The sequence below is a fragment of the Homo sapiens genome, chromosome 19 (assembly GCF_000001405.40).
Source record: "Homo sapiens chromosome 19, GRCh38.p14 Primary Assembly".
NCBI classification, from domain to species: Eukaryota; Metazoa; Chordata; class Mammalia; order Primates; family Hominidae; genus Homo; species Homo sapiens.
The window spans coordinates 39,834,172-39,846,921 of record NC_000019.10 but is presented as its reverse complement, the minus strand read 5'-3'; the positions used below and the strand labels follow the sequence as shown (position 1 = coordinate 39,846,921).

Genomic DNA, 12,750 nt, shown 5'->3' with positions numbered 1-12,750 from the left:
TTTTCTCCAAAGCACTTATCGCTTTCAAACATTCAACATGTTTGGTGTCTATTTCCTCCATTAAAAAGATGAACTCCAGGAGAGTGGAGATTTTTATGTCTCGTACACCGCTGTATTCCCAGCTCCTAGAACAGCACCTGGTACACACGAGGTGCACTGTAAATGTTTTTCGGATGTTTGAATGGAAGCCCAGAGTCGGTCACTGTTCTTGGGGCTGGAAATGTATTGGGGAAGCCTTTTTGGGTGTACAGGGGCCAGAGGGATTTAGCTAGGAATACAAAAGAGGGCACAGCCCGTGCGAAGGCTATGAGCCCTGATTATTGGGGTGCTCGCATTGGGGAAGAGGAAACCGGAAGCGAGTTTAGGGCGACCGCTGCACAGGCAAAGGCTGGGAAGGCAGAGAGCGAGGGCAGCGGGTTGCGTGTCGACAGGCTCGAGAATCCAGGCTCACTGCGCGTGCGCCGAGCTCCGGGCGGGGAAGGGGCCCGGGGGCGGGACTACGGGGTGGCGTCACGCAGCGCACGTCGCCGCGCGCCTGCGCTCTTTTCCACGTGCGAAAGCCCCGGACTCGTGGAGTTGTGAACGCCGCGGACTCCGGAGCCGCACAAACCAGGGCTCGCCATGAAGCCAGGTCAGGCTGGGGTGAGGGTCCGGGGTCAGGGACGGAGGCCGGGCGGGAATCCGGGTGCCAGGCCAGAATCGGAGGGGTGGGGCCTTGGCCTGGGGGCAGGGGTTCTGAGCACGGGTTCCAGTCTCCTGTGGGAAGGGGGATTCTGATTCCAGCAGGTCTAGGGGTTTGTGACTGGCTTCAGAGGTCACGGTCGTGAGTCGAAGAAGGCCGTGGGCCTGGCATTGGGGGTGTTGACGTGGGGTTCGTCTCATTGAGGCCGTCTAATAGGGATTTTGGATATTGGGCAGGAGGCGGCACTCAAGGGTCTTGGGCTAGAGTTTGGATTCAGGCATCTGGAGTCTTGGATCGCTGGGCGTGTTTTGGGAATCAGGCTTGGGTCGGAGATGGAGAGTTCCTGACCTTGGGTCCTGGAGCTGTGTGTGGGAAGCCCCCATTTGCCTTCCCTGTCGCTGCCACCACCACCATCCCCTTATCCCGCATCCCAGCTTTTCCGAGTGGGCCGGAGTGGATGAGGACTCCCCGGTTGGCCGTGTGCGGCGCTCTTCGGCTCACTTTCCCGCCTTCTGCACTTACAGTGGGGCGGATCCCCGGGGATGGAGTGGAGATTTGGGGATTAAGATTTCCACCTCCGGGACGAGACTTAACAAGCTCGGCATTAGTCTGGGGTGGTGGGGCGGGTGGTTGTCACAGGAGGTAAGTAGTTTTATTCTTAAGATTTTCCACTAGATTCTGCTGAAACCACTCCCTTCATGGTGGAATGATGAGGGGGTCCTGGCTTTGACAGCAGAAGGGCCTCAGTTCAGTGTGTCAGCTCTTGCTCAGCTTCTTAGCCTGCTGTGTGAACTTGGGCAAGTGGCTTTACCTCTCTGAGCCTCTGTTTTCTCATCAATAAAATGGCGCCAGTTAGGATTAAGCGACGTTAAAAAAAATAGCACAGTGCTTGACATATAATAGTATTAGCTCTAATTGTTACCTTTATCTTTCTCAAAGAGAACAACATTAGAATCCTTCTCGGTGGTGCCTGAGCACTTCCTCCATCTGGCCTGCCCAACCCGCACTCATCTGTGTGAGAACTTGCTTCATTGAGTTTGGAGAATTTCCACCATGGCCCAAAGGGTCTGTTTTCCTAGTACAGGCTTTCTTTTTCTTTTGTGTGTGTGTTTGTGTGGAGAGATGGGGGTCACCTGGCAGGAGATTTGTGGATCTGTGCCCTTCTCCCAAGTTCCCTTTCTCTTCCGTGTTTGGGGATCTCTTGATGAAGTGGGGTGGGGGATTGTAGGCCAGGTATGCTGAGATCCTGGCTTGCCTGCAGGCATTCTGGTCTGTGATTCCCTCATAAATGGAGGATACCCGTTCTTCCAACCTTCCTCCATGTGTGGTAGAATGTGAAGTTGTAAAAGTTGTCAGGTGTTAGCTCTTTAGTAAGGATTTTAGCCTGAGTGAGAAAAGAACCCTTTGGGAGATTTTTGAGCAGGGGCGTGGTGCAGTCTGACATTTTTAAAAGGGATTCTTTTTGCTTCGATGTGTGAAAGACCTCAGGGTGGCAAAAGTGGAAGCAGGCACATTGGTGGGAAGCTTGTTGCTGTAATCTAGGAGATGGTGTGGTGGACCAGGATGGGAGCAGTGGACATGCTGACAGTTTTACATGCTTTTGAAGACAGAACCAACAGATTGTATGTGGGTGTGTGATCGGAGTCAAGGATAACCAAGGGTTTGGGGGTGTGTAACTGGAAGGATGGAATTGCCATTTTTGAGATGGAGAAGGCTGTGGAAGGAGAGCAGATTTTAAATCAGGGGGTTTATGGACCCCCCTCCCCCCAAAAAAAGAACTTACTGGAAAAGTTTGTGTGAACATGTGTTTTTTCTGAGGACTGGGTACTTTTGGTACATTTTCCCCCAAAAGCTCCAGGACCTGAAACGGATTGAGATGTTTTGAGTATCTGGGATTGAAAGTTTACACTCATGCCCACTCCGCCCCAAGCACATGCCAGTACTTCCTTTCTGTTAGGCCTGGGTTGAGACTTTCATAAGCCTAGCTGTGGCATCTCCCCTAAATGAAGGTCTTGGCTTTGGAAAACTGTTGGAGGGCTTGGGCAAGAAAATTGAGATCTGAGTTGCTGTTTCAAAAACAGCACTTATTAGTTGCTGTGTGGAAAGTGGACTGTAGGGGGAGTAGAACATTAAAAAGTGAACAACTCTTAGTTATGTTCTAGAGTTTTGAAAAGGAAACTTCATTTTAAAAGATCAAATTAGGAGTAGCTATTAAAAGTTACATTTTCATCTTTAATAGAAAGATGAAAAAAGAACTAACTGGAAAAGTTTGTGTGAACATGTGTTTTTTCTGAGGAATGGGTACTTTTGGTACATGAGGAGGGAAGAGGAGACGCGTACCCCTGAGTTTGAATGATGATGTTCAAAGTAGGTGCCAGATAGTATATATGTGATGTGCTCTGTGGGTACAAGTCATTTAATCTTTACAACCCTATAGGATGAGCACTGCATTTTTTTTATTTTTATTTTTTTGATACAGAATCTCTCTCTGTCACCCAGGCTGGAGTGCAGTGGCACCATCTCAGCTCACTGCAACCTCCGCCTGTGTTCAATTGATGCTTGTGCCTCAGCCTTTTGAGTAGCTGGGATTACAGGCATGCGCCACCACGCCCAGCTAATTTTTTGTATTTTTAGTAGAGACAGGGTTTCACTATGTTGGCCAGGCTGGTCTTGAACTCCTGGCCTCAAACTGTCCGCCTGCCTGGGTCTCCCAAAGTGCTGGGATTACAGGCATGAGCTATGGCGCGTGGCCTGGCACTGTATTGTCTCCATGTCTTACAGATGAAGTTTTCAAGACCCCTATGAACCTTCCTTACTAGGGTCGAGAGTGGCAGCAACATTGCCTATCTCTCCATATGCGATACTTGAGGGGAGTGACCGGCACTTCCCTGGTCACCATCTGATGGATTGTGTGCTTTCTGAACAAATAGAGGGTGCTTTCTCCTTGAGGCAGGGCCCAGGGTTTAAGAGTCATCAGCTCAGTGCTCATTTAACATTTATTGAGCCCATACTTTGTGCCAGATGTTGTGCAGGGTTTTGGGGATGCGGTGGTGACCAAAACAGTTAAAAATCCCTGCCCATTTGGAGCTTGATCTTAGTGGGGGAGGCAGGTGGTAATAATATTAAAAATGCCATGTGTGATAATTGATTTGAAGGGAAATAAAGCAGGGTAAGGGTACTGTGGCCAAAGTAGGCCCTTCTGGGGAACTAACATTTTATCAGAGACCAGAATGCAGTGAAGGAGCGAGTGAGCCATGCACATGTCTGCAGGAGCCAGGCAGTGGGAACAGCACGTGGTAAAGATTTAGAAGCTGGACTGTGTATGCTTGGTGGGGAAGAGCATGGGGCCCAGCATAAAGAGAATGAAGTCAGGGAAGTCAGCACAGGCCAGATCCTTAGGATGATGATACTCAATGTGGGCTGCACCTTGGAGTCACCTGGAGAGCTTTAGGGGAAGACCTTGCGCCCAGAACAATGAAATCAGAATTTAAAGCCTAAAGATTTTAGGCTTTGATTTCAGGCTTTGTAAGCCAGGGAAAGGACTTTTTATTTCATTTTGGATGTGGTGGAAAACCATTGGAGGGATTTGGGCAAGGGCATGATGAGATCTTACTTGCTGTTTTAAAAATAGCATGTATTAGCTGCTGTGTGAAAAGTGGACTGTAGAGGGAGTAGAAGATTAAAAGTAAACAACTTTTGGTTGTTTGGGAGTTTTGAAAATGAAACCGTTCATTTTTAAAGATTAAATTAGGAATGGCTGTTAAAAGACACATTTTTTATCTTTAATACCATTAAGGTGCATGAAGGGTTCGTAGGACAAGATCATAATGTATCTTTACAAAAAACATGAGCAAGGCTGGGCGCGCTGGCTCACGCCTGTAATCCCAGCACTTTGGGAGGCTGAGGCGGGCGGATCAAGAGGTCAGGAGATTGAGACCATCCTGGCTAACACGGTGAAACCCCTTCTCTACTAAAAATACAAAAAAATTAGCCGGGCATGGTGGTGGGCGCCTGTAGTCCCAGCTACTGGGGAGGCTGAGGCAGGAGAAAGGCGTGAACCTGGGAGGTGGAGCTTGCAGTGAGCCGAGATCGTGTCACTGCACTCCAGCCTGGGTGACAGAGTGAGACTCCGTCTCAAAAAAAAAAAAAAGCAAGCTTATGATTGAATAGATTACATCATGTGAGAATGTGAGATAATTTTAAACCACTAGTTTTCCAACTATTTTTTTTAACTTGTGTGATTTAGTACTTCTGAGTTTTTGAAACCAAATCAGAGAAAATATTGAATCTGTTAGCACCAGAGTTCTGTTTTAAACGTTGTTTTGTGCTAATGGTGTTTGTTGTCCTGAACTGGTAAGAATAAAGCCTGTCTGAGTCTGTTATTTCTTAAACATTTCGATCTTACTGACAAGTCGCAAACTACTTGTAAAGTGCAGCCTATCCTTAAATGACAGTTTGTTCTGCTTTTTCTTGTTTTTCCCCTGAGCTGAGAGGGACTTCTTTAAGCTTGGAAGCAGGGAGATGAGTTAGGGCTGACATCATCCTGTATTCCCCTCTGTTTTGGGGCTGGGGTTGACACTTTTCTTCCAGCTCCAAGGTCAGGAGTGGGAGAGTATGAAGACGTTTGCAGAGTCTAGGGGGCCCTGTTGTCACAGCATGTGCTCGTATGCAGGGCTCACTCTTCACAGTAATTAATATTGACATGGAATGAATTCTGTGAATCTGCTATGCAACCAAGGAAACCAGGATATTAACAGTAACCTACATCTATTCATGTACTCCTCCCCTATCCCAACCCCATATTAATATCTCCTTCCCATTCACCAATATCATGAGTTTTACATTTCTCATTCCCTTGCTCCTTTTCTTGGGCAGTATGATTGTGGCTGGGTGTGGTGCCTGACACCTGTAATCCCAGCACTTCAGGAGGCCAAGGCAGGAGGATCACTTGAGCCAGGAGCTGGAGACTAGCCTGGGCAACATAGTGAGACCCCCATCTCTACACTATGGGAGTAGTGGCACACACCTGTAATCTAGCTACTTCAGAGACCGAGGCAGGAGAATTGCTTGAGCCCAGGAGTTCGAGGCTGCGGTGAGCTGTGATTGTGCCATTGCTCTCCAACCTGGGCGGCACAGCAAGACCCTGTCTCAAAAAAAAAGCACTAAGCAAAAAAAATTATTATGATTTTAACATTTATTAGTCTGTTGTGTATAACTGAAGGTCATTTTCATGATCTTGATTGTGAATGTCTTCTATTTTATTTGCCCATTCTATTGATGGACATTTGGGTTAGTCTTCACTTTTCTTTTGCTGTGGACATTCTTGGAAATGTGTCCTGCTGTACACGGGCACATGTATTTCAGGTTTCTCACCTGAGAGGTATTGCTGGGTACAAGGTGGTTTAACCTTTTAAGCTTCATTGCCCTGACTCCTGTTTTGTTTCCCCCACAGGATTCAGTCCCCGTGGGGGTGGCTTTGGCGGCCGAGGGGGCTTTGGTGACCGTGGTGGTCGTGGAGGCCGAGGGGGCTTTGGCGGGGGCCGAGGTCGAGGCGGAGGCTTTAGAGGTCGTGGACGAGGAGGAGGTGGAGGCGGCGGCGGCGGTGGAGGAGGAGGAAGAGGTGGTAAGATTGGCTAGGGGTTACAGAGGAGGCCTTCCTGAGGTGGGGAGTGGGGAGGGCGGAGATTCAGGATCTTTCTCTCCTGTTGTACCTCTCCTTTATAGGTGGAGGCTTCCATTCTGGTGGCAACCGGGGTCGTGGTCGGGGAGGAAAAAGAGGAAACCAGTCGGGGAAGAATGTGATGGTGGAGCCGCATCGGCATGAGGGTGAGTGAGGAAGGCAGGGAGCCGGCTGAGCTTCGGGGCAGGGAGAGGCTGGGGGTCCTCACCCCTGCTCTGATCCCCTCACCCAGGTGTCTTCATTTGTCGAGGAAAGGAAGATGCACTGGTCACCAAGAACCTGGTCCCTGGGGAATCAGTTTATGGAGAGAAGAGAGTCTCGATTTCGGTGAGAACTGGGCCCCTGTCCAAGCCACCAGGGTCGCAGCTGAGGGTGTAGCCAGTAGTCTGTGTCTGCCCTCACCATGTGTCCTGCACGTGACAGCTGGAGGATTGTCATAATATGTAAACCACACTGTCTGCTCCCTCATCCGCCTTCTGTGACTCCCCACGGCCTTCCAGTTAGACTCCTGAGTCTTCACTCAGGCCTCCAAGACCCTGTGCATTCCAGTTCCCCCTCCCTGCCCCCTGGCTTTGTCTCCTTCACTAACTCTCTGACCAAGTGTCCTCCAGCCACCCTGGCCTTGCTGTTCCCACTCCCAGCTCTGTGGGAGGCTGCGTCCTTATCATCTGCTTCTCCAGGCTGCGTCACACCACTCTGCGGGTCAAGGCATCCCTCACCGCCCTCCCCTGTCCTGTTATCCTGTGTCATTTTCTTTGAGGCCAGGGTGTGCCTGCCTTGGGGCCTTCCTAATCGCTCTCCCTCTCGTGGGAATGTCCTTCCTCAGATAACTTGAATGGCCCCTTGCCTCCTTCAGGTCTGATTTGGAATCTGCCTTTCAGCCCCTCCCTGGCCCCTTTTCCCATTTTCACCTGCTCCTTGCCCTGCTTCCCAAACTCCGTATCTTCTCTCCTGGCTTTGTCTTCTCTCCTTAACACCTGTCACCATCTCATATGCCATGTTGTATTTAGTTAGTTCGGTGAATACTTACACCTTCTGGGCAGGGATCCTTGTTTTGTATCCCCAGCGCCTAGAGCAGGGTCTGGCACACAGTAGGTGCTGGCACAGTGCATGTTTGTTGAACAAGTGCTGGTTTTACTGTTACTGTTTGTGTTTATTCTCTTTTGCTGCCCTTTGGGTCAGTCACCTCCATGAGAGGGCAGCGACTGCATGTGCATGGTCACTGCTCTTTACTCATGTTGAGTTCTTGTGCAGTGATAGGACAGCCCAGTTCCTTTCAAGGCTCCTAGGGTTAAAGGCAGTGAGGTCCTGCAGAAGAGCCTAGCACTGACTTCTGTCCCCATCTCTCATCTAGGAAGGAGATGACAAAATTGAGTACCGAGCCTGGAACCCCTTCCGCTCCAAGCTAGCAGCAGCAATCCTGGGTGGTGTGGACCAGATCCACATCAAACCGGGGGCTAAGGTTCTCTACCTCGGGGCTGCCTCGGGCACCACGGTCTCCCATGTCTCTGACATCGTTGGTCCGGTGAGTGAGTAGATGGAGAGTCAGGCAGGAGGTAAAGGCTGCCTCCCTTCTGCCAACCTGGAATATCAGGGTTTGACTGCTTGCCTGCGCTGTGTGACTTAGGGCCAGGCCCTTTTCTGTCACTGTGCCTGTGAGTAAAAGGAGTGGCTTGAACCAGATAATGTCATTCAACCTCACTCCTGGGTTCTTGGCCTCAAGGGAAGAGACGTGGGTGTGGGGTGACCAACCTTAGAGAGACAACGGGGAGTATAGATACCAGACTATTTGATTTGATGGGCCTCTTTAAAATTTTATGCTGCTAAAACCTGCTCTTCTGGTTTCTTTAGAAAGAACCAGGAGATCTTCATGGTTTCTGAGCCTGTATAGGCTTCCCATTTAGAGGGCCCCTGGCACCCACGTGTCCCACTCTGTTACCCTTTGTTACTTTATGTGTTTATAAGCTGTTAAGTGTAGTGCCTTAAAACCTCAGGCTTTGGCCAGACGAGGTGGCTCATGCCTTTAATCTCAACACTTTCGGAGGCCGAGGCAGGTGGATCACCTGAGGTCAGGAGTTCGAGACCAGCCTGACCAATATGGTAAAACCCCATCTCTACTAAAAATACAAAAATTAGCTGGGTGTGGTGACGTGTGCCTGTAGTCCCACCTACTTGGGAGGCTGAGACAGGAGAATTGCTTGAACCCAGGAGGCGGACGTTGCACTAAGCTGAGATCGCACAACTGCACTCCATCCTGGGCAACAGAGTGAGACTCAAAAAAAAAAAAAAAAAAAACCTCAGGCTTTAATCAGGCAAGTTACCTAACCCATCCAAGCCTCAGTTTACCTGTCTGGAACATAGACTTGTGAAGATTAAATGAGTTAATTTCTGAAAGGTGCTTAGAGCAGTGGTTGGCCCATTGTTACATCATCTCTGTGCCTTGGCTTCCTGGTTTTAAGCCTCTGTTGGGAACCTGGGCTCTCAGGCAGATGGGATTGGGTACTTTTGCTACTTGCTGAATAACTCTTGGCCAGTGACTTTATGTCTGGACCTCAGTTTATTCATGTGAAAAATGGACATGATAGCAATAGTCATTAGATGGTAGGGTTTTGATTTGGGGGTTGGAAGAGATGCTGTGTATAGTGTATGGGCCTAAAGTAGGCACTCCATGCATGAGAACTAGCATCACTGTTCATTAATTTTTAATTTATTTTAGGATGGTCTAGTCTATGCAGTCGAGTTCTCCCACCGCTCTGGCCGTGACCTCATTAACTTGGCCAAGAAGAGGACCAACATCATTCCTGTGATCGAGGATGCTCGACACCCACACAAATACCGCATGCTCATCGGTGAGGGGTCTGGGGGTGGCCCCGGTGGGGTAGGACAGGCCACCGCAGGCTTCTGGAAGAAGCCAGTGGATCTCTGATTCGGATGGAGTTGGAGTGGATGAGCAGACCTCTTGAGTCTGCAGGAATAGAAAGGGGTAAGGGGAGCTAGGTGAGGTTGTGGAGGTGGCAGCTTGGCTTCAGAGTCTTGGAAGCCACCCTTGGAGGGCCAACCTCTTCTCCTTCAGTCTCCTCCCCATCTCCTAGGTCTCCTGTACTTCCTGCCTCTTGTATTTATTACACTACCCCTCCATAAAAAGCCTCCTTTTGGGGGTCCTAATCATTGTCTGGTGAGAGCATATCCCAGAAAACTAAGCATGGCTTGATCTGGAGGGGCCCACTGTGAATATTAATTACTTTGTTTAAAAAAACATTCAAAGATATAATATAAAAGTTGAAAAGCCTTATAAACCACCGCCAGAAGTAACTGATGAGAACAATTTGATGTCTGCTTTTCCCAGGTTTTAAATAATCAGTTTTCATTATACCACCTTTTCATTTTTTGAAAAGTCACACTGGCTTAAAAACATTATTTTTCATTCTGCTCCTTTTTCTTTCTGTGTTTTATTTTTCCCATGCACTCATACCATCCCCTTTGTTCTGCAACTTGTTTTCATTTCACAGTCCTGCGGACACTCTTGCCTATAAGTGCTCACTCACTCTTACTTGTCTTTTTGATGACGTGTCTGTCTCCCCACCAGACCTGGGAGCGTCTCGAGGGCAGGGTCCGGGTCTGACTCGTCTCTATGTCCCCCACGCCCGGCCCAGGGCTGGCCACAGAGTAGGTGGCAACCATGGTTTACAAGAAGAGTGGATGAATGATGTGACTGTGGGTTTTGGACTCATCTTGGGACACTGGAGGGAGGGGGACCAGTGGAGGTGGGGAGTGAAACTGGAGGCAGGGAGAATCTCCCAGGAACCTGCTGGTGATGGGCATAGGCCCCATGGGAGGATCTGGGGTGATCCCTGTGACTCCAACTTTTAACTGCTGCTCCTTTCTCCTTAGCAATGGTGGATGTGATCTTTGCTGATGTGGCCCAGCCAGACCAGACCCGGATTGTGGCCCTGAATGCCCACACCTTCCTGCGTAATGGAGGACACTTTGTGATTTCCATTAAGGTGCGGGGTTTGGAAGAGTCTAAGATGGGGTGGCAGTGTTCTAGGGAGGTATCTTCTCTATCTGTATCTGTCAAATAGCCACCCAAAACAGAGGGGCCAAGTCTGCAAAACTATAGCTTTGGATTTAAAGAGGCAGGAGAGTGCAGCGGTCAAGTGCAAAATTGAGTCTGACCATCTGAGTTTAATCCCAGCCTGCTGTGTGACTGAGCAAGTTACTTAACCTATATGCCTCAGTTTCCTCACTTATGAAATAGAAATATTGTCTAGTCTTTTTCAGGGTAGATGACAGGATCAAATTAGTCAATATAATATGAAGTGTTTAGAAAAGATCCTGGCATAGAATAGATACTAGATAAAAGCTAGGTGCATCTTTCACAGCATTTTTATTTGGAAATAATGGAGAACTCTCCCATGCACCCTTCACAAGGTTCACCATTTGTTAGCCTTTTGCTACATTTGTTTTATTATTCTCAACTGCATTATTACTATTATTAAAGAAGAGGAAGTAGAAATAAGCCAAACAATTCCTGGGTATAAAATTTAAGCACTGGCTTTTAGATAAATAGGACTGTTTAAGGCTTCCTGCTTCAAATCCAAAACAAAACTAAAAACTTTTTTTTTTTTTAATTTGAGACAGAGTCTCGCTCTGTCACCAAGGCTGGCGTGAAGTGGTGCAATCTCAGCTCACTGCAACCTCTGCCTCCCAGGTTCAAGCAATTCTTCTGCCTCAGCCTCCTAAGTAGCTGGGACTACAGGCGTGTGCCACCACACCTGGCTAACTTTTATATTTTTAGTGGAGACGGGGTTTTGCCATGTTGCTCAGGCTGCTCTGGAGCTCCTGAGCTCAGGCAATCTGCCTGTCTCAGGCTCCCAAAGTGCTAGGATTACAGGCACGAGCCACTGCACCCAGCCAAAAACTTTCATTAAGCCTTTTATCACATTTCCTAAACCCGAGTGTCTTAGCCCATTTTATGCAGCTATCACAGAATGCTATAGACTGGGTAATTTATTTATTTTTATTTTTATTTTTATTTTTTTGAGATGGAGTCTTACTCTGTCACCAGGTTGGAGTGCAGTGGTACGATCTCGGCTCACTGCAACCTCCAGTTCCTGGGTTCAAGCGATTCTCCTGCGTCAGCTTCCCGAGTAGGTGGGACTACAGGTGTGCGCCACCACACCCGACTAATTTTTGTATTTTTAGTAGAGATAGGGTTTCACCGTGTTGGCCAGGATGGTCTCAATCTCCTGATTTCGTGATTGAGCCACCTCGGCCTCCCAAAGTGCTGGGATTACAGGCGTGAGCCACCACGCCCAGCCTTAGACTGGGTAATTTATAATGAATGGAAATTTATTTGGCTCCCAGTTCCAAAGGCTGGAAAGTCCAAGATTGGAGGTCTGAATCTGGCGAGGGCCTTCTTGCTGTCATCCATTGGCAGAAGGGTGAGAGCAAGATAGAAAGGGGGCATAATCATCCTTTTAATCAGCAACCCACTCTTGTGATAATAGCATTACTCTATTCAGGAAGGCAGAGGCCTCATGACCTGAATCATCTCTCGAAGGTCCCACCTCTCAACTCTTGCATTTAAGGGTTACGTTTCCAACACATGAACTTTGGGGGACACACTAGAACCATAGCACTGAGTTTTACTTGAATTAATAATGAAAACATCTGGTTTAAAGAGCACACAAGAGAAAAACAGCCCAAAGCCCTGTTGTAGACATTAGTCCTTTCTCCTCTTTAGGCCAACTGCATTGACTCCACAGCCTCAGCCGAGGCCGTGTTTGCCTCCGAAGTGAAAAAGATGCAACAGGAGAACATGAAGCCGCAGGAGCAGTTGACCCTTGAGCCATATGAAAGAGACCATGCCGTGGTCGTGGGAGTGTACAGGTGAGCAGGGGCCCAGCAATACACCAAGACAGACATCTCTGTCCCTTGCACCCCGAGTGCCATGATCCTGGGGACCCTCCTTCATCACCTATCTTCCTCTCACAGGCCACCCCCCAAGGTGAAGAACTGAAGTTCAGCGCTGTCAGGATTGCGAGAGATGTGTGTTGATACTGTTGCACGTGTGTTTTTCTATTAAAAGACTCATCCGTCTCCCATGTCTGCTGCTCATTCCTCCCCTTGACCTGCTGACACAGGGAGCACGCACCCTTGGTCAATTTTGCGGGGTTGGGTAAATTCTCACTCGGTCACAGAGCGCATGCTCCGTTTCTAGCTGCCTTTGCGCAGCGGCAGCCTGGATTTCGGTTCTTGGGTGGGATTGGTAGCTCGCTGCGCATGCGTGCAGGTAAGCGGCCATCTCGCGCAGGCGGAGTGTCAGTGTGGGTCACGTGAGGGGAGCGGAGAGGGAGGGATGGGGGCGGAGTCCAGGGCGTGGGGG

At 48.9% G+C, this 12,750-nt stretch overlaps 1 protein-coding gene across 3 annotated transcripts, besides 1 other annotated feature; it reads left to right on the top strand.

Moving 5' to 3' along the window:
• The first annotated feature begins 542 nt into the window (after nucleotides 1–542).
• Nucleotides 543–12,464, top strand: FBL (fibrillarin). 3 transcript variants are annotated; one of them, XM_005258651.3, is made up of 9 exons: nucleotides 543–631; nucleotides 6,135–6,302; nucleotides 6,407–6,508; nucleotides 6,595–6,689; nucleotides 7,717–7,887; nucleotides 9,079–9,211; nucleotides 10,254–10,366; nucleotides 12,109–12,254; nucleotides 12,360–12,464. In XM_005258651.3, the coding sequence occupies exons 1-9, from the start codon at nucleotides 622–624 to the stop codon at nucleotides 12,382–12,384; spliced, it is 963 nt and encodes a 320-aa protein (XP_005258708.1). In that variant the 5' UTR covers nucleotides 543–621; the 3' UTR covers nucleotides 12,385–12,464. The 3 variants fall into 3 exon arrangements, with proteins under 3 accessions (XP_005258708.1, NP_001427.2, XP_011524925.1); NM_001436.4 differs by having other exon boundaries at nucleotides 6,135–6,305; XM_011526623.3 differs by lacking the exon at nucleotides 6,135–6,302.
• Nucleotides 998–1,738: an enhancer, noted in NCBI's record as "H3K27ac-H3K4me1 hESC enhancer chr19:40335824-40336564 (GRCh37/hg19 assembly coordinates)". NCBI's record gives its function as "activates a minimal SCP1, AML or CMV promoter by ChIP-STARR-seq in primed H9 embryonic stem cells {active_cell/tissue: H9 hESC(primed)}" and the evidence as "EXISTENCE:reporter gene assay evidence [ECO:0000049][PMID:30033119]".